The following is a 20,573-nucleotide window of genomic DNA, read 5'->3' as shown; positions in this document are numbered from 1 at the left end:
GTTAAAGAGGAGCTTTTTATTGTGCTAGTTTTTAGGACTGTAGAGATGAATCTGTTTAAATTATGAAAGAGTTGGTCTCATGGAACAGAAGTTAAAGGCACATGAAAGGAAGAATAGGATCCAGAGTCTGGTAGCTGGATAGCAGAAAAGAGGGGATGGGCTGGTTCTGGCCCTGCCGTGAGCTGCAGTGGAGGAGAGGAGACAGTGTAGATCCAGGGAAATGTGTGTGGGAGAAAGAAGTTGGAAAAATTCAATTCTAATGGTCTCCAACTTCCCCATAAAACAAGAAGTAGGGGTGGTGGCTTGAAGAGAAAAATGATTTGTAGCCTCTAGAGGAATAAAAGAAGGAGCTAGCGAGATGGTAAACTTCTTGAGGGCAGGGATTTTTTCTACCTTTTCACTCCTGAATCCTCAGCATCTGGAATAGTGCTTAGCACATGAGTTCACATGAATGAATAAACAAATGTTGTTTGGGTTATCAATTGCTGTATAACAATCCCCCCTACCTGTGGGGTGGTAGTGGTAGGGGAAGGGGGAACTTAGAGGCTTAAAAGAACAATGACCTATCATTTATCACATTTCTGTGTATCCACCAGACAGTTCTCTGGTGTCACATAGTGACAGCTTGGGTGCTGGAAGGTGATGGCCGAAATAGCCTCACTTACCAGGCTGGCTTTGGATGCAGCCACTGGCTGGGAGCTCAGTTGAGACTGTTGGCTAGGGCCCTTGGTTCCCTTCTTGTGGGCCTCTTCATGTGGCTGCTTTGCCTCCTCAGAATGGAGGCTGGCTTCCAAAAATGAGTGTCGAACATGTCCAAGACCTCCAAACAGCCATCTTGAGGATGGCAGAACAGAGACCTGGAAGGAAGTGGCCTCCCAACACAGGACAGCCTACCTCTTAACTTCTCTTACATGCAACAAAAATAACCTGCTGTATTGTTGAAGCCACTGCTTTTTCTTGTCAACTGAAGAACAACGAAGTTACAAATTTGGAAAGGAGAGCTTTATTTCTCATAAAGCGTTGCAGCCTGCAGGCAGCCATTCTGATAAGCTGGCAAGCGTCACCTCCAGTCAGAAGCCAGAAATAGGCTCTTGAGAGTGGGAAGAATAAGACAGAGATATACGCTGAGCAGGGTGGCCAAATATATATATTTGACAGTTATAGGAGGAGCTATGAATATTCACAAAGGGGAGGCATGGGCATGTGTAGAGGACTAACATGAATACAACATGTGTCCCATGTTCACTTTGGGGTGGAAACCTAATGTTTAAATGTATTACAATTAGGCCCTATACATCCAAGGGTGAAACAGAGCACACAAAGGCCCTCTGCACAGCATCCATAGATGGCCAGAACCACTTTGTGGTTGGCGGTCTCTTATCAGGAAAGAATGCTGATCATTTGTTGTGTCAAAACCACAAAAGGGAGGTTGGTTGAATTTAGCAGTGGAACAAGTCCTTCCAAAGGGCTGGTTTTTGTTTAATGCTTAAGAAAGAAAGCCTAATAGTGGTTAATGAGGGAGGGGGTATAACAAGGCATGTCCAACCTTCTGTACCATCATGGCCAGTTTTTAAGGTTTTTCTGGGGTCCCCTTGGCCAAGTGGGGAAGGATCCAGTCAGTTGGTATGGCATTTAGGATTTTATTTTTATTTATCAATCTCATTTTGTTTTTCCATTAAATGCAGCCAAACCTAATTTGAACGATATACTTAACGAAGAAGAAGAGAGCAGAACTCAGGGTTTTCTTGACTTATAGTCAAGAAAAACAATGTGGCTCAGTCGATACTTCTTATTTCTACCAAACAAGTGTTCATTTTTATTATGAACATTTTATAATACCTATTTTACTCTCCTAAAATGAAAATCACAGACACTATTGCCTATAGGTATAAATAATTGTAAATAATTGAACACACACAAACACATTGCTTTAACAATAGGAAAGAGGATAAATAAAAGGAAAGTAAGTCAGCATAAAATGACATATAATTTAACATGTAAATACTGGAGTATGAGCATCCCAGGAGACTTAAAGAAGTTGTCAGGAGCTAGCACTTTCATATCGTGAATAGGCTTGCATTTAAGGGAAGTAAGAAAGCACATTTAAGAATGTCAGGTAGGACACACAAAGAATGTGGAGTGGGAAACTGGACTGTCTCACATATTACAGGACATATGGCATTGCTGTCCATTAAGTGCCAGTAGAACCTCCCAATCACTGTCACAACAAAAATTGCCCCACAGATTTCCAGACTGAAGCCAGTAGCCCGTCTTATTTGAAGCCTCTGGTCTAAGTGGGCTAGAAACACCTGGGCTCTCTCCTTGGCACAGAGCCTTGAGGGTGGCCCCTTCCTTCCTGAGGCCAAGGCCCGGCCTGCCTGTCTTAACAGCTCTTAGTTTTCTCTCTTTCTGCTCTAATCTCCACTTAGGAATGCCAGATTTAGCAATAAAATTCGAGAATTCCTGGTTAAATTTGAATTTCAGATTAAACTATGAATAATCGTTTAAGTAAGTCCCAAATCTTGCATGAGACCTACACTAAAAAAAAAAAGAAAAAAAATTGATTTAACTGAAATTTGAATTTAGCTGGAACACCCTGTATTTTACTTGACAACCTTACTCCCAGTACACATTGTTCCCCTCAGAACCTCAAGAAAACCTATCTTAAGGGTATCAATTCAGCCGGGAGACTTTAAGACCTACGGGCATAATGTAGAATTTCCCAAAATGGGTTCCACGGAGTACTTCCATGAAGTGCTCAGTAGGAAAAAAGAGACAGCCTACCTTAACTCCTCTTAGAGATTCGTAATACTGTACATATCTCCTAGGAAAGCTTAAGCAGGTCCTGCCCTTACATTTAATACTTAACCTGGTATTTCCCAAACCATTTCATCTAGCACCTGCTAACTGTCCCAGACACCAGTGGTCCAGGGAACACACCGTAGGAGGCAGGTTTGAGGAAACTATTTCTGGAGCCCCAAACTAATCCCACATGGCCACACTCCTGCTGTGGTTACTATGACTCTCTAGGCCTCAGTTTCTCATCAGCAGAAGGGTGGAGTCGAATGCAATTAGCTTGAAGGTCCCTGGAGTTTATGAAATCTGGAGATTCCACTTTCATACACTGCCTTTCCTCAGAGCTCTGTCCCATTATTACCAAGAGCCACCTCAAGCCAAACTCAAAAGTTGGGGCAAACCAAAGGTTCAAAGCTCACACAGTGCATGAACTGTCTCCAGGAGCCTGAATTCTCCATCCTATTTTTAGCTCTGACCCATCTCAGGCCCAGCAGATGCCATAGTGATGATCACTGTAATTTCATGGGAAAGATACAGGAAACCCAACAATAACAGCAATAATTCAGCAGCCTAGCAGATGCCAGATCTCATTTGTGCTTCACCCTTAGCATGACTGATGATACACACTATCAGAGCAAAAGAATGTTCATCTGTGGCAAAAGACCTTTAGCACATTTCCTGTAACCTCCAATTTGCAACAAGTTGAGTTCCAGTTGGTGGGTAAGTTAGCTTGTGTCTTCTCATAACACATTTCCCACAGAAATGTTCGACATAGTCTAGACTTCCCGGAAGGCCCCTTCCTCAAGGCCCATTTAATCCATTATAAAACTGTAGTTCAAGGACTACTCCTCAAAGACTCAACATGGGAAGGCATCCATTTTGTCCCCTTCTCTCCCATTTTTTCTCCCTTGCTTTACAGCCCCTCTTATCCTCCAGGCCTCCTACCCATCAGTTGCTTTACTAGTGCACCAAAGAAAGAATTTTCTACCACCAAATATAATAATTTTTGCAGTAAGAGGGAGAAGACCACACAAATGATCATTCTTCAGCATTTAAGGGACCCCCCACCTCTACCCCCAGAATGGTGTTGGTCAGTAATTCATACCTAAGGAACGTGCAAGTGTGAAGTTCTGGAGTCAAAACCTACATTGCCTGAATGCAAACAGCAAATCTCTGCTTTAAACGCATAACATGGGAGAGTCAATGTGTTTTCATCTATGATGGCAATGGAGGTACCAGATTGAACATAAATGGGGCCCTCTGTGAAGATGCACGTGACTGGGTGTGTCTCTGTTGAGGGGCAGGACCTCCCAGACAACTGGTGGATCAGAGGCCCTGGGGCAGCATAGTGCTTGTCCAGAACAGTGGTTCTCAAAATATGGTCCCTAGAGCAGTAGTACCAGCATCATCTGGGGATTATTTCGAAATGTAAAATCTTAAACCCCACCCCAGAGTTACTAAATCAAAAAGCCTGGATAACACCCAGAAATCAGTGTTTTAATGAAACCTTCAGGTGACTCTAATGCATGCTGAAGTTTGAGAACCACTGGTGTAGAATGTGGATCCTCCTACCTTAATTTTTTATCTGCACTGCATAGAAAGAAGGAGCTACAGGCAGAAGGTGGAGGATATGTTCTCACAGGGTTTTGCATGACCTAGCAGCATGATCATGGCTACCCAGGAGGCAAATGTGACGGAATAGGGGAAACAGTGTTGCTTCAGCCTGGTGAGAACTCCAGAAAGTACAGCTGTTCCTTGGTACCCTGCAGGTTGCTGATGTGGCCACTAGAAAAAGGTGACCCCTCCATTCCTTGGCATGGACATTTAGACTCTCAAGAATACCACTGAAGCCATGCAGAGGTGAGGTGAGTGCACAGCCACCCTCAGATGGCATCTTGATCCCCAGCTATGAAACCCTTATCAGGAGAGCATAAAAGAACTGTTCCTGAGGTCACACGAGATCCCACTAGAGAGTATCCAACACTGGGTGAGACTTTGATGGAGCTGGAGCTTCTGGGCCATGCATTGGTGGTAAGGGGTGGGGGGTGTGCAGGGGTGGGGGCTCTGATATTTTGGCTATTCCCATTAATATAATCCTGTTAGACTGGGGAAGCTTGAGTTACAGGTGAAATAGAAATTCATCCTTACTGTAGGGTTTAGCACACCGAAAACTTCACCTCTCTCTGCTGACTCTGGCATATACACCAAAGAGAGAAAAATTGGATTTAAAAGCAAAGAGAGATAGACCATCCTTACTCCTCAGCTTTCTCTTTCACTCTCTCTCTCTCTCACACACACACATACACACAGTATGTATGCACACTCATACGCACAGGTCTGCATGGCACACTGCAGTAAGTAATTCCCAAGTGCTTCCTGGCTGACAATGAAAGCCTACTTGCCCGAACAGCAATCAAATCCACAGCCTGCCCTGATAATTACCCCGTCAACTTTAGCCCCAGTAAAATAAATGAGCCATTCAAAGATTTCTGGAAACTTCAGTCCCAGCAACGCCTCCTCAGATACAGTGGTTTGGCAGTTTGGGGTCTCCTTGTGCTCTCACAGAAAGGATATCAAATTTCTGACCACTCTCCTTGTGGTTGAACTATTTCTCCTCCTTTGAAGATCATAATTTCTGAAACATTGGCGTCTCCCTTTTCTTTCCTACTTGTTTATCCTCTTGTAACTTGAAGGCTCTGAAGGCCAAGTCATAGAAATTGTTAATTGCACTCTTGGATTTTGTTAAACAAAAGAACTGGTGATGACTCTCACTGGGGCTGCCAGAAAATACTGCTTATTTGGCTGGGCATGGCTGGAGCCCACACTAAATGTCAGCTCCTCTATGGAGCTATCTCCTTCTCACGATGTCAGCTTAACTCTCATTACTTTTAAGCTACTGAGTATCTGGGCATTTCATTCTTCAGAAAGTTTTTCCAGAAAATTAACTTGTGGGGGAAATCATGTGCTGTATTAATTCACCCCAGACACTATCCGTTTCAAAGTGAAATCTCCAGGCTTTAGTCAATACTGGCTCTTTGTAAGTGTTTCACATCTCCCAGGGCATCAAGAGATCAGACGCAGTGAGACAAGGATGTAAAATTCTTGTCAGTGTTTCAGTGCCCACTATTTCTTGTCTCCTGTGGCTTTGTGCCACTGGATCATGTAATACAAGCCTTGTCTTGCCTGCTATCTTTCCTCACTGAATTTCCTATACCAGGTATCAGGAAAGTCAGAGAACACAAATATTTTCTAATGCCAGCATCTGCTTAGAGCCCTGTTCACAAGACCTGTCAGAGAACCCAAAGCAAAAAAAATCTCCTTCCTGTCATCTGCCTTTCAGTCATTTGGTGAGGAGTCCTTAATGCTGGAAAAGTAACTCAATGAAATGGAGCCAGAGGGAGAGAGCAAGTGAGCCACGTTCACTGTAGAGTTCACAAACTTCAGGTATGAACCTGAAGACCCCAGAGTTGTCGTAAGCAGCAAAGACCCCCTGCAGATGCAACCTACACCATCTCCCAACCATGTGACTGGTAGGACATGTGTGTGTTCCAGGTCCCTTTATGTCAGGTCAGACTGCTTTAGTCCTGCCATGGAAATAAATCCCTAAACTAGGATCAGGTGTCTCCTGTCAAAACCAAAATACAAAGTTAGTAACAATGGCTCCTTTGGTGTTCTGGAAAGGAAAGGCTGTTGGCACAGCTCACCCATCTCCTTTTGTGAGGGACATTGCTCCATCTTCCCTGTTTCCCCTTCTTTCCTCCCCTTGTACTGCATGATAAACAAACCAAGTGGTATCTTCCATTTCACCTTGAATGAGCTCTCTTATCCCCATGTATTGATATCACTGACATTTGATTCTGAGGTACTGCAATAGGTGATAAACAGCCATACCTTTTATAGAGGATCTAAAAAGAAAGGACAGTAAGAATAAGTAGGCTCATTGTTGATAAGGTCTGCAGGTGCCTCCTGGCAAGGTGGCCTGTTCACCAGGATACTTTGCTTCCCTTACAAATGGACTTGCCAATCTGGCATGGCACAGTGACAGAGGTGGGGGAGGTGGGGTAGGTGGGGTTTTCATGTTTGAGAGACTTTAATTTAAAATTGGCTAACATGGTGTTCCTCAATTGAAAAGTTTTCTGGCCTGGTATCAATAGCAGTAAAGTTAAGTAATGAGCTGGGTTCTCTTTCTATGTTTATCTTTATAATCAATCTTAATTATATTTTGTTTATTCATGATCTCATGTAACCAAGGGGTAAGATATACAAATCCTTTGCTTTCAGCCCAATAATGGAAATAGTTCTCAAATAATGAATATTTATAATTACGACTTTCCTGGCCCCATTTTGTAGAAACTAGTCTAGATCATTTCCTGTAGCAGAAAGCTTAACCTCATAAGTAAAGAAGTGAGCCCTGAGCCCCAAATATGCCATGATTTCTACCATTAAACTGTTTGGCTGGAAGGCCTTGTAGAGTCATAGGAAGGACCTGGACTTCAGAGTTAGATCTGCTGGATTTGAATCCCAGCTCTACGACTCACTGACTTTGTGAGTTTGGGCATGCTGTTTGACCTCTGTAAAAGCCAGTTTCCCTATCCATAAAATGGGGGCAGTGATACCTATCTTGTGAGAATTTAATTATCTAGTTTATGTTAAATTCCAGACATTCTCTCATCAACTATTGCACTTCTTGTACCTCAATTCTATTCTATACTTTTCTGTGTTCTATATTTTAATTTGTTTTGTCAATGAACATTGAACAGGTAGGACACTATATGCTTAGAAACATTTTCCATATAACCCCTTAAGTTAAAAGAGAAGAGGCTTGAAGATACCTAACCCTTCCTAATTTTAATAGGTTCCTAAACATAATAATTCTGTTCCCTTCCATTTGCTGTCAGTTGACTCTTGAATCTATATGCCCAAACCAGACCTCTCCTCTAAATGCCAGACTCAGTATATCCAATGATCTCTTTAACATCTCAATTGGATGTATAATTGGCACCTCACACTTAAATATTCAAAAAGAAACTTCTGCTCTTCCTTTTTAGACCACAGTCCTCCCCATCTCAACTAATAGCAACTTCATCCCTCTGCTGCTCAGGCCTAAAACATTAGATTTCTTCTGAATGCCTCTCTTTCTCTCATACCCTACATGTAATCCACCAACAAGTCCTGTTGGCTCAACTTTCAGCAGAATCTAAAGCCATCTCACACCTTCACTGCCATCCTAATTTAAGCCACCATTATTCTGTCACTCAATAATTCTGTCACTGAATAATTCTGTCCTAACAGATCTTTCTGCTTCCATACTCTGTTCCCAATCTCTTCCCAACACCACACTCAAAGAAATCCCTTTAAAGCTTAATCATATCATGGCCTTCTAAATGGCTTTCCATCTTACTCAAGTGAAAGCCAAAGTCATTACATACAGCTTTCAATGTCCTATTTGATCTGCACCCTCTGACATACCCCCCAGTATGGCTCATTCTGCTCTAGCTGATGCTGGGTTTCTAGCCACTTTCTCCAAACTCACCAAGTATATTCCTAACTCAGGCTCTTGTACATACTGTTCCATCTACCTGAAACATCTTCCTCAGATATGTGCATGCCTCAGTTTCTCACTTTATTTCAGATCTTTACTCAAATACTCCATTTCCAATCAGAACTTCCCTGTCCACTCTATTTATAATTATACCCTATTCACCATCTCTGGAGTCCATTTCATATCTCTTGCTTGCTTCCTTTATTTTTTTCCCATAGCCCTCATCACTATGTGAAGATTATGTGTTTGACTTGTTTGCTTTGTTATTAGTCTCCTCTCATTAGAATGTTAGCTCTACGAGGACAAGGGTATTTTTTTTTCTATGCCCCCATCACATATTAGGTGTTCAGTAAACATTTTTAACAAATTGAACTGGTGAATGAAATCCTCAGGGTTTCTTCCTGGTTCACTCCATACATATTTTACTTGTTCCTTTATACTTCCCCCCCAGACTTTTTCTTCTAGCCAAATTAGAATAACAGAGAACTAATTTATACTTACATCTTATAATTATGGTCACCAAAGATATCAAGTTATAATCCCTGAACTTGTAAATGAGAATTTATTTGGGAAAGAGGTATTTGTAGATGTAATTAAGTTGAGGATTTTGAGATGAAGAGATTACCCTGGATTATCTGGGTAGACCCTTAATGGAATTATAAGTGTCCTTCCAGGATAGAGGCAAAGGGAGATAACACAAACACTCAGAGGAAAAGATGATGTGAAAACAGAGGCAGAGATTAAAGTGCAGTGACCTCAAGTCCAAGAGTGCCGAAAAAGCCACCAGAAGCTGGAAGAGGTAAGTACTGGATTATCTGCCATTTCCTTTGGAGGAAATGTGGCTCTGCTAACATCTTGATTTTAGATTTTTGGCCTCAATGGCTGTGAGAAAATATATTTCTGTTGTTTTAAGCCATTCAGTTTGTGGTAATTTGTTATAGTGGCACTAGGAAACAGACTCTTTTAAAATAACTTAACAAGGTCCTAGAACAAGTTCAAAAACATATAAAGAAATATGAAATATCCAGCACTCATAAAAAGGTAAAATCTACACTGTTTGTCATCCAATCAAAAATTACAAGGCATGCAAAAAATCAGAATTAAAACTCATAATGAGGAGAAAAATCAGTGACTTGAAACTGACCCAGAAATTATATAGATGATAGAATTAGCACATGAGGAAATTAAAATAGTTAATACTATATTTTATGTGTTCACAGAGTAAGGGAAAGCATGAGCACAAGTAGGAGAGATATGAAAGATATCTAACTTTGGAAATGATGAATACAATACTTAATATGAAACATATAACATATAAAAACAGACTAGACACTGTAGAGTAAAAGATCAATAAACTTGAAGACAATAATAGAAACTATCTAAAACAAAACAAGGTAAGAAAAAAGACCAAACAAAATGAACAATAACAACAACCTCAAGAACCTTAATATACATGCAACTGGAGTTGGCTCAGAAGGGTACAAGTTTGGGGGGTGAGGGTGGACAGAAAAAATAGTTGAGAAAAGAAACAAATTTGACAAAAAGCATAAACTGATAGATCCAAGACACTCAACAAACTGAAAACACAAAGAACATAAAGAAAACTACACTAAGGCACATTAGAATCAAATTGATTGATACAATTGGGAAAGAGAAAACCTTAGAAGCAGCCAAAGAAAAAAAGACACATTATGTACAGATAGCCAAAGAGAGGGATGATGGTAGATTTCTCTTTAGAAACAATGGAAGCTCAAAGGCATTGAAACATTTTCTTTAAAGTATTGAAAGGAAAAAAAAATCCTTTCAAGTAGAATACTATATCCAGTGACTAGATCTTCCCAAAACAGAGGGAAAATAAAGACTTTTTAAATTTATAAATCCTAAAAGAAATCATTAGCAGCAGATCTGCTCTACAATAAATATTAGAGGATTGCAGGCAAAAGGAAAATAATGCCATATGGAAATGTGGATCTATGTAACAGAATAAAGAGTACTAGATAATAAACTCATGGGTAAAATATAAAATACTTTTTCCTTATTTAAAAAATCTCTTGGCCGGGCGCGGTGGCTCACGCCTGTAATCCCAGCACTTTGGGAGGCCGAGGCGGGCGGATCACGAGGTCAGGAGATCGAGACCATCCCGGCTAAAACGGTGAAACCCCGTCTCTACTAAAAATACAAAAAATTAGCCGGGCGTAGTGGCGGGCGCCTGTAGTCCCAGCTACTCGGGAGGCTGAGGCAGGAGAATGGCGTGAACCTGGGAGGCGGAGCTTGCAGTGAGCCGAGATCCCGCCACTGCACTCCAGCCTGGGCGACAGAGCGAGACTCCGTCTCAAAAAAAAAAAAAAAAAAAAAAAAAAAAAATATCTTGGCCAGGTGCAGTGGCTCCCGCCTGTAATTCCAGCACTTTGGGAAGTCAAGGCGGGCAGATCACAAGGTCAAGAGATGGAGACCATCCTGGCCAATATGGTGAAACCCTGTCTCTACCAAAAATACAAGAATTAGCTTGGTGTGGTGGCATGTGCCTGTAATCCCAGCTACTCAGGAGGCTGAGGCAGGAGAATCACTTGAACCAGGGAGTCGGAGGCTGCAGTGAGCCAAGACTGTGCCACAGCACTCCAGCTTGGCAATAGAGAGAGACTCTGTCTCAAAAAATAAAAAAATAAAAAATAAAAACACACCTCTTTGAAAAGTTGGTTGACTGTTTAACAGCATTCAAGAAAACCAGTGCACTAAACACAACTACAACCAAGGACCCTCACAGAGTCCACTTTACTGTGGACTGTAAAGCTGTCTCTTCCAGAGCAAGTGCTGGTGTCCATGACTGCAAGACCTGAAGATGGATTACATCCCAGGACTCTTTGCAGACACTCCCCAGTATCCTCCTGGAGCCTGGTAGCTCTGATGGGTGGCTAAACCCAGAAGAGCAATAACAATCACTGTAGTCTGACTCTCAGGAAGCTCCATCCCTAGAGAAAGGGAAGAGCACCACACCAACAGAGCATGCTGTGGGACAAAAGAATCTGAACAGCAGCCATTAAGCCCCAATCTTTCCTCTGACATAGTCTACCCAAATGAGAAGGAACCAGAAAAACAATTCTGGTAATATGACAAAACAAGGTTATTTAACTCCCCCAAAAGATCACAGTAGCTCACAAGCAATGGATCCAAACCAAGAAGAAATCTCTAAAATGCCAGAAAAAGAATTCAGAGGTCAATTATTAAGCTACTCAAAGAGGCAACAGAGAAAGGTAGAAACTAACTTAAAGAAATTTTGTAAAAAGTACAGGATATGGACAAAAAATTATCCAGAAAAATAGCATAAATAAAAAACAACCACAACTTCTGGAGATGAAAGACACACTTAGAGAAATGTAAAATACACTAGAAAGTTTCAACAATAGAAGCAAACAAGTAGAAGGAAGAACTTCAGAACTCAAAGACAAGGCTTTCAAATTAACCCGACAAAGACAAAGAAAAAATATTTTTTTAAAAAAAATGAACAAAGCCTCCAAGAAGTATGGGATTATGTTAAACAACCAAACCTAAGAATAACTTGTGTTCCCAAAGAAGAAGAGAAATCTAAAAGTTTAGAAAACATATTTAAGGGAATAATTGAGGAAAACTTCCCTGGCTTTGCTAAAGGGCTAGACATCCAAATACAAGAAGCTCAAAGAACACCTGGGAAATGCATTGCAAAAAGTTTATAACCTAGGTACATAGTCTTCAGGTTATCCAAAGTCAAGAGGAAGGAAAGAATCTTAAGAGTTGTGAGGTAAAAGCATCAGGTAACCTATAAGGGAAAACCTATCAGATTAACAGTAGATTTCTCAGCAGAAACCCCACAAGCCAGAAGGGATTGGAGTTTTATTTTTAGCTTCCTTAAACAAGACAATTATCAGTCAAGAATTTTGTAACCAGCAAAACTAAGCTTTATAAATGAAAGAGGGAAAGTCTTTTCTGGACAAAAAAAAGTGCTGAGAGAATTCACCACTACCAAGCCAGCACTACAGAAACTGCTAAAAGGAGTTGTAAAACTTGAAACGAAACCTCGAGATACACCAAAATAGAACCCCCTGAAAACATAAATCTAACAGGGCCTATAAAACAATAACACAATGAAAAAAAAAACCACAAGATATTCAGGCAACAACTAGCATGATGACTAGAATAGTATCTCACATCTCAATACTAATGTTGAATGTAAATGGCCTCAATGCTGGGTCAACAATGAAAGCAAGATGGAAATTAAAAAATTATTTGAACTAAATGATAATAGTGACACAACCTATCAAAACTTCTGGGATACAGCAAAAGCAGTGCTAAGAGGAAAGTCCATAGCTTAAAATGCCTACATCAAAAAAGCTGAAGAGCACAAATAGACAATCTAAGGTCACACCTCAAGGAACTAGAGAAACAAGAACAAACAAAACCCAAACCTAGCAGAAGAAAAGAAATTACAGTGATCAGAGCAGAACTAAATGAAATGGAAACAACAACAAAAAAAACATACAAAAGATAAATGAAACAAAAAGCTGGTTTTTTTAAAGATAAACACTGATCCACCATTAGCGAGATTAACCAAGAAAAGAAGAGAGATATAAATAAGTTCAATTAGAAATGAAACAGAAAGTATTACAACCGATACCACAGAAATACAAAAGATCATTCAAGGCTACTGTGAACACCTTTACACACACAAACTAGAAAACCTAGAGGAGATAGATAAATTCCTGGAAATATACAACCCTCCTAGATTAAACCAGGAAGAAATAGAAACTCTGAACAGACCAATAACAATCAGTGAGATTGAAATGGTAATTCAAAAATTGCCAACAAAAAAGAGTCCAGGAACAGATGGATTCCCACATGAAGTCTATCAGACATTCAAAAAAACCTGGTACCAATTATATTGACACTATTCCAAAAGATAGGGAAGGAGGAAATCCTCCTTAAATCATTCTATGAAGCCCTAATACCAAAACAAGGAAAGGACATAACAAAAAAAGTAAACTACAGACTGATATCTCTGATGAACATAGATGCAAAAATCCTCAACACAATACTAGCTAACTGAATCCAATAGCATATCAAAGAGATAATCCACCATGATCAAGTGGGTTTCATACCAGGGAAGCAGGGATAGGTTAACATATGCAAGTCAATACATGTGATACATTACATAAACAGAATTAAAAATAAGTACAATGTGATCATCTCAATAGATGCAGAAAAAACATTTTATAAAGTCCAGCATCCCTTTATGATTAAAACCCTCAGCAAAAACAAATTCGAAGGGACATACCTTAAGGTAATAAAAGCTATCTATAACAAACCCACAACCAGCATTATATGTAACAGGGACAAGTTGAAAGCATTCCCCTTGAGAGCTGGAAAAAGACAAGGATACCCACTTTCACCACTTCTATTCAACATTGTACTGGAAGTCCTAGCCAGAGCAATTAGACAAGAGAAAGAAGTAAAGGGCACCCAAATCAGTAAAGAGAAAGTCAAACTGTCTCTGTTTACTGATGATATGATCATATACCTAGAAAACCCTAAAGACTCCTCTAAAAAGATCCTAGAACAGTTAAATCAATTCAGTCAAATTTCAAGATACAAAATTAATGTACACAAATCAGTAGCCCTGCTATACACCAACCATGACCAAGCTGAGAATCAAATCAGGAACTCAACATCTCTTACAATAGCTACAAAAACCTTAAAATATTTAGGAATATACCTAACCAAGGAGGTGAAAGACATCTACAAGGAAAACTACAAAATATTGCTGAAAGAAATCATAGATGACACAAACAAATGGAAACATACCCTATGCTCATAGATGGATAGAATCAATATTGTGAAAATACCATACTGCCAAAAGCAATATACAAATTCAATGCAATTCCATCAAAATACCACCATAATTCTTCACAGAACTAAAAAAAAAATCCCAAAATTGTATGGAACAAAAAGGAGCCCACATATCCAAAGCAAGACTAAGCAAAAAGAACAAATCTAAAGGCATCACATTACCCAACTTCAAACTATATTGTAAGGCCATAGTCACCAAAACAGTACAGGACTGGTATAAAAATAGGCACACAAACCAGTGGAACAGAATACAGAACCTACAAATAAAGCCAAATACTTACAGTCAACTGATCTTCTGACAAAACAAATAAGATGTAAAGTGGGAAAAGGACACCTATTCAACAAATGGTGCTGGAACAATCGGCAAGCCATATGTAGAAGAATGAAACTGGATCCTCATCTCTCACCTTATACAAAAATCAACTCAAGATGGATCAAAGACTTAAATCTAAGACCTGAAATCATAAAAGTTCTAGAAGATAACATTGGAAAAATCCTTCTAGATATTGGCTTAGGCAAAGACTTCATGACCAAGAACCCAAAAGCAAATGCAAGAAAAACAAAGATAAATAGATGGGACTTAATTAAACTAAAAAGCTTCTGCACCACAAAAGAAATAATCGGCAGAGTTAACAGACACCCCATAGAGGGGGAGAAAATCTTCACAATCTGTATATCTGACAAAGGATGAATATCTAGAATCTACAAGGATCTCAAACTAATCAGCAAGAGAAAAGCAAACAATCCCATCAAAAAGTGGTCTAAGGGCATGAATAGATAATTCTCAAAAGAAGATATACAAATGGACAACAAACAAATGAAAAAATATTCAACATCACTAATGATCAGAGAAATGCAAATCAAAACCACAACGTGATACCACCTTACTCCTACAAGAATGGCCATAATAAAAAAATTCAAAAAATAATAGATGTTGGGATGGAACAGGGAACACTACTACACTGCTGGTGGGAACGTAAACTAGTACAACCACTATGGAAAAGAGTATGGACATTCCTTAAAGAACTAAAAGTAGATGTACAATTTGATTCAGCAATCCCACTTCTGCGTATCGATACAAAGGAAAAGAAGTCATACAAAAAAAGACACTTGCACATGCATGTTTATAGCAGCACAATGTGCTACTGCAAAAATATGGAACCAGCCCAAATGCCCATCAATCAATGAGTGGATAAAGCAAATGTGGTATATATACATAGTGTATATATACACATACACACCATGGAATACTACGCAGCCATAAAAGGGAACAAAATAAAGGCCTTTGCAGCGACCTGAATGGAGCTGGAGACCATTATTCCAAGCGAAGTAACTCAGGAATGGAAAACCAAACATCATATGTTCTCAATGATATATGGGAGCTAAGCTATGAGGATGCAAAGGCATAAGAATAATACTATGGACTTTGGGGACTCAGAGGGAATGGTGGGAGGGAGGTGAGGAGTAAAATACTACATACTAGATACAGTGTACACTGCTCCAGGGATGGGTGCACCGAAACCTCAAAAATCGCCAGTAAAGAACTTATCCATGTAAACAAACACCACCTGTTCCCCCAAAACTCATTGAAATTAATTAAAAATAAATAAATATGCTGGATGCAGTGGCTCATGCCTGTAATCCCAGCACTTTGGGAGGCCAAGGCAGGTGGATCACTTGAGGCCAGGAGTTGGAGATCAGCCTGGCCCACATTGCGAAACCACGTCTCTATAAAAAATTTAAAAAAGGCCGGGCACGGTGGCTTCACGCCTGTAATCCCAGCACTTTGGGAGGCTGAGGCAGGTGGATCACGAGGTCAGGAGATCAAGACCATCCTGGCTAACACAGTGAAACCCCGTCTCTACTAAAAATGCAAACAATTAGCCAGGCGTGGTGGCAGGCGCCTGTAGTCCCAGGTAATCGGGAGGCTGAGGCAAGAGAATGGTGTGAACCCGGGAGGCGGAGCTTGCGGTGAGCCAAGATCGCGCCACTGCACTCCAGCCTGGGCAACAGAGCAAGACTGTCTCAAAAAAAAAAAAAAAAAAAAAAAAAAAATTAACCAGGAGTGGAGGTGCTCGCCTGTAATCCCAGCTACTTGGGAGGCCAAGGCAGGAGAACAGCATGAACCCAGGAGGCAGAGGTTGCAGTGAGCCAAGATCGTGCCACTGCACTCCAGCCTGAGCAACAGAGCAAGACTCCATCTCAAAAATAAATAAATAAGTAAATAAATAAATATCGGTTGACTGTTTAAATGAAAGATAACAATGTATTGAGAGGTATATAACATGTAAGCATTAAATTATGACAATAGCACAAAGGCAGAGAAAGAGAAATTATACATGAAGGAATATGTTACTTGAAGCTAGGTTATGATAAATTAAAGTTATATGGTTTAAAACCTAAAGCAAACACTAAAACAAAACCAACAACAAAAACCTATATGACAATAAAAACCACAGAGCTAAGAAGCCACCAAAGGAGATAAAATGGAATAATTTAAAAAATGCAATCAATCTAAAAGAAGGCAGATAAGAGAAAGGGAAGCAAAGAACAAATGAGAAAAATAGAAAACAAATATAACAAAATGGTAGATAGAAGTTCTACTATGTCAACAATCTCAATAAATTTAAATTGCCTGCACACCTTCATTAAGGCCTGAGGACATGTAAGTCACGTGCATTTGCAGCATTTGTGTCTTTAGAGCAGTTTCCAGATTTACCGCCTTGACTTCTTTCATTCAGGTTTGGTAATAGGCTATTTCAGGTTATGTAGAGCTGAGACACACTTGAATATATTGTAAAGATATGAAGAGAAGTAAGCGAGGCAGGAAATGGTCATAACTCCCACATTGGCTGCTTTAAGGAAAACCTCAATATCTTTTAGAACAAAGTGGAAATTGCAAAATTGAAAGTCACAGAGAACACAATTGCCATTCAGGAGACAATGCAGATCTGAACTTCTGGGGATCTTCTAATGCTCTTCTATTCTCTGCCTCAGCAATTACTGCTATGCTAATTTTCTATCTCAGGTTCAGACTCAGGAGAGAGGTCCCAACTTGTATAATACAAGTCACTGTCTTACGTGAAGTACTATATAAGTTAGGCTTAGCAGGAGCCACACAACCCATGTCACATGGTACAATATAGTATATTGAATATGGACAATTAATTATGGACCTGTGGGAAGACCCGAAAAGGCAAACAGCAAGGGACAATAAGGCAATCCAGAGAGCCAATATCTTGCCTAGGGCTGAAGAGACTCAAAGGAAAAAGAGTTGTTACTAGAGCCCAGAAGCCCAGGCTGCCTAGAAAGCTCAGAATATGTAGTTTGCAAAGGTCAGTCCCATGTTACTGAGAACAGAGAAAGAGAAAAGACACTAGATCTGAGAGTAAACGCAAATAGGCAAATGACTAGCCTAGTTGCTTTACTGGGCAGAGTCTTAACACTAACCAATTAAATGTGGATCACATGCCTATCACTGGTCTCTTGGTCTGGAAGACTTTGAAAATCATGACTTTGACATGGAAATTTCCATATTCAAACTAATCTCAGATATGAAAATCGGTCTACATTTGGTTTAAAATCCTACCTTCTCTCTTTATGTAAGGAATTCTATTGGGATTTCTGGAAAGTTTTTTTTGTTTGTTTGTTTTTGTTTTTTGTTTTTTTGTTTTTAACAATTCTCAGCAATGCTCACTGCTAAAATTGTATTTTCCATCCTATCCTGCCATGAGGCACATTATCAATTGCTCAATTATAGCTCAATAGCTTTCTCTTGATTCTATACCTAAGGCAATACTTGTGGGTTTTGTTTTCGTGCCTCAGTATTTCAAAGACTGGGAGACTGATAGAATTCTGACTGTGACATTCTGCAGGATGCTACTATGGATCATGTAATATCTGACACACTCAGCTCCTTTTGTAGAGTGATTTTATGGTGTGAAGGTGATGACTCTGAGTGCTTTGCCATGTAGCTAGGCATTTGTGTGCAAGGGCTGGATTGCTTCCCAATGTTGGTCTGACAAATCATTTTACATAATCACGCTGAAAGAGCACCTTTTTTGTTTTGTTTTTGTTTGGACAGTTCTTGGTTAAAAAGAAACCAGTTCTTAATTTAGCCTTTTCATAGATTGCGAATCTCATTTAACTTAGATTTGTGTTTAATTTTGGCAATTTTTAAAAAGGGAAGACCAGGGATTTCTTCCTGTAGAATATGTTCTTGGTTAATGTGTTCATAAAGACTTTCATTGATTTGTTCCTTTAACTGAAGGAAAGAAGTTTAAAATCTCTAGTGTGAAATACTGCTGGCTTAGGGGTCACTAAAGTCTTCTCATCTGTGCTTTACTCTTCTCCACCAGAATATAAATTTCCTAAGGGCAGGGATATTGTGTTATGCACTGCCATATCGCCACTAGCTAGAATAATTTTTGACACAGAGTGAGTTATCTTATTTGTTGACTGAATTAAGTGATTAGCATCATTTAACTTAAAGAAATAAACCCTGTATAGTGACTGGGACATGAGCATCAAAAAATACAATGTGTAATACGGTAGCTTCTTTAAGAAGATGGCACAGTGTATTAGTCCACTAAGGCTGTCCTAACAAAATACCATAGGCTGAGTAGCTGAAACAACAAAAATTAATTTTCTTATAGTTCGGGAGGCAGGAAGTCCAAAATCAAGGTGCTGGAAAATCATAGTGCTTGGTGTCTGGAGAGGCCTTTCTTTTTGGCTGGCAGATGCAACCTTCTCCCTCTGTCCTCACATGGCCTTTCTTCTGTGGGGTCAAAGCGGTGGGATGCGGAAGCTCTGGTTAGAGCTCCTCTTCTTCTTATAAGGACACTAATCCTGTCAGATTAGGATCCCACTCTTATGACCTCATTTAACCTTAATTATCTCTGTACAAGCCCTATCTCCAAACACAGTCACATTTGGGGTTAGGGCTTCAACGTATACATTTTAAGAGGGCACGAGTATAACATACAGATTTGTTTGTTTTCTTCCTAGGAAATGTGTAAACCAGTGTGAGTCAAATCTATATATAGCACTTTGGAAAAATGGAACATTTAACTGCTAAAATTATTTTCTCTAATTGAATGTTCTCTTTATTTAAGCATTGTAGAGACTGAGGTTCAAAGGTTATTTTCTCAAAGTTACAGCAGCCTCTGAGGTGGTGGAGGGTGGCAGCAGGACAGTGAGCTGACGGCCAACCCCTGTGCCCAAGTGTGCTGCTCCGCTCAACTCCATGTGCACCAGGGAACAGCCATTCTCTGCAGGCTGATTTGATCTGGAACCACAATTGAGTCTAGTTCTGGAATCTCAGACACATGGAGAACTACACCTTGTCTCCAGTTGCTACAAGTCAAGTCCACCTGCATGCAGACAGCTACAATTGTCTTGTAAAATTAGAAAACAGAACAGGGACAACAGTATTATCTATATTGACTATAGATTAATTATTCATTTGCATTCTTTGTCTTTTGTACTTATAAATATGAAATTTGTATATAAACGTGTGTTTTACAACATAAGATACAGATCTATATATATGTACCTTTGAAAGATTATTCTCTCTGCTCTTTGGCCTAAATTTCCAAATGGAATCATCCTGTGTACAGTAACCTGTGTCTGAAAATTTCTGTCCACTTAGAGTAATGAAGGCATGGGGTCATAATGAGAGCAACAAAAAAGTTACACTTTATACTGTGAAAGACCGTCACCTTATTGTTCATTTACTTAAGTTTTTCATTTTGTTTTTATATTTTGAAATGTTGAATAAAAAACTCAAGGCACATCTCATTTTATGTCTAATCTGTACAACTAAGAAGCAAAAACAGTCTGTCAGGAAGCCTTTCCCTGGGGATCTGGTTAATGTTTCCACGTTTCTCTAGAAATAAGTACCCTGATTTCAGAAATACACTGGCTTTCTAGTCTATACCAGATCGCACCAGTTAGCTCATTCACAAGCAACAGGTTATCAAAGAGGAAAAATCTTCCCTCTAGCATTTTTCAACATTCTTTTTCAGGGAGTTAGAGCCAGATATCTGATGTATCTGGAAAGAGCCTTTCCTGGTTATAGCAAAACCAATTGTGTCCAAAGGTCTTGAATTTAGAGATAAATTAGGCACCTAACAGAGACTCATGGGGAAAAGCTTTCTCACTAGAAGTCCATTAGAGAATAATTTTATTAATGATTTGCTCTACAGGCTACCATTTGTTCAAAGGGTCACTTAATTTTTTTTACTTTTGATGAAATATAACATACAGAAAAGTGAATTAAATATAAATGTACAATTAACAAATTATAAAACAAACACCCACATAACATCTGCCAGGTCAAGCAATAGAACATTGCCAA

General features: G+C 39.6%; 1 long non-coding RNA gene across 1 annotated transcript; it reads left to right on the top strand.

The window, feature by feature from the left end:
- The first annotated feature begins 846 nt into the window (after positions 1-846).
- LOC101929577 (uncharacterized) lies at positions 847-20,008 on the top strand. Its single transcript, NR_125928.1, has 4 exons — positions 847-3,516; positions 4,566-4,656; positions 9,013-9,137; positions 19,369-20,008. It is a non-coding gene; the product is annotated as an uncharacterized LOC101929577 (long non-coding RNA).
- Positions 20,009-20,573: the final 565 nt, after the last annotated feature.

This window comes from Homo sapiens, chromosome 4 (assembly GCF_000001405.40).
Source record: "Homo sapiens chromosome 4, GRCh38.p14 Primary Assembly".
NCBI classification, from domain to species: Eukaryota; Metazoa; Chordata; class Mammalia; order Primates; family Hominidae; genus Homo; species Homo sapiens.
Note: the sequence above shows the minus strand (reverse complement) of the source record. Positions and strands in the feature narration are given on the sequence as shown.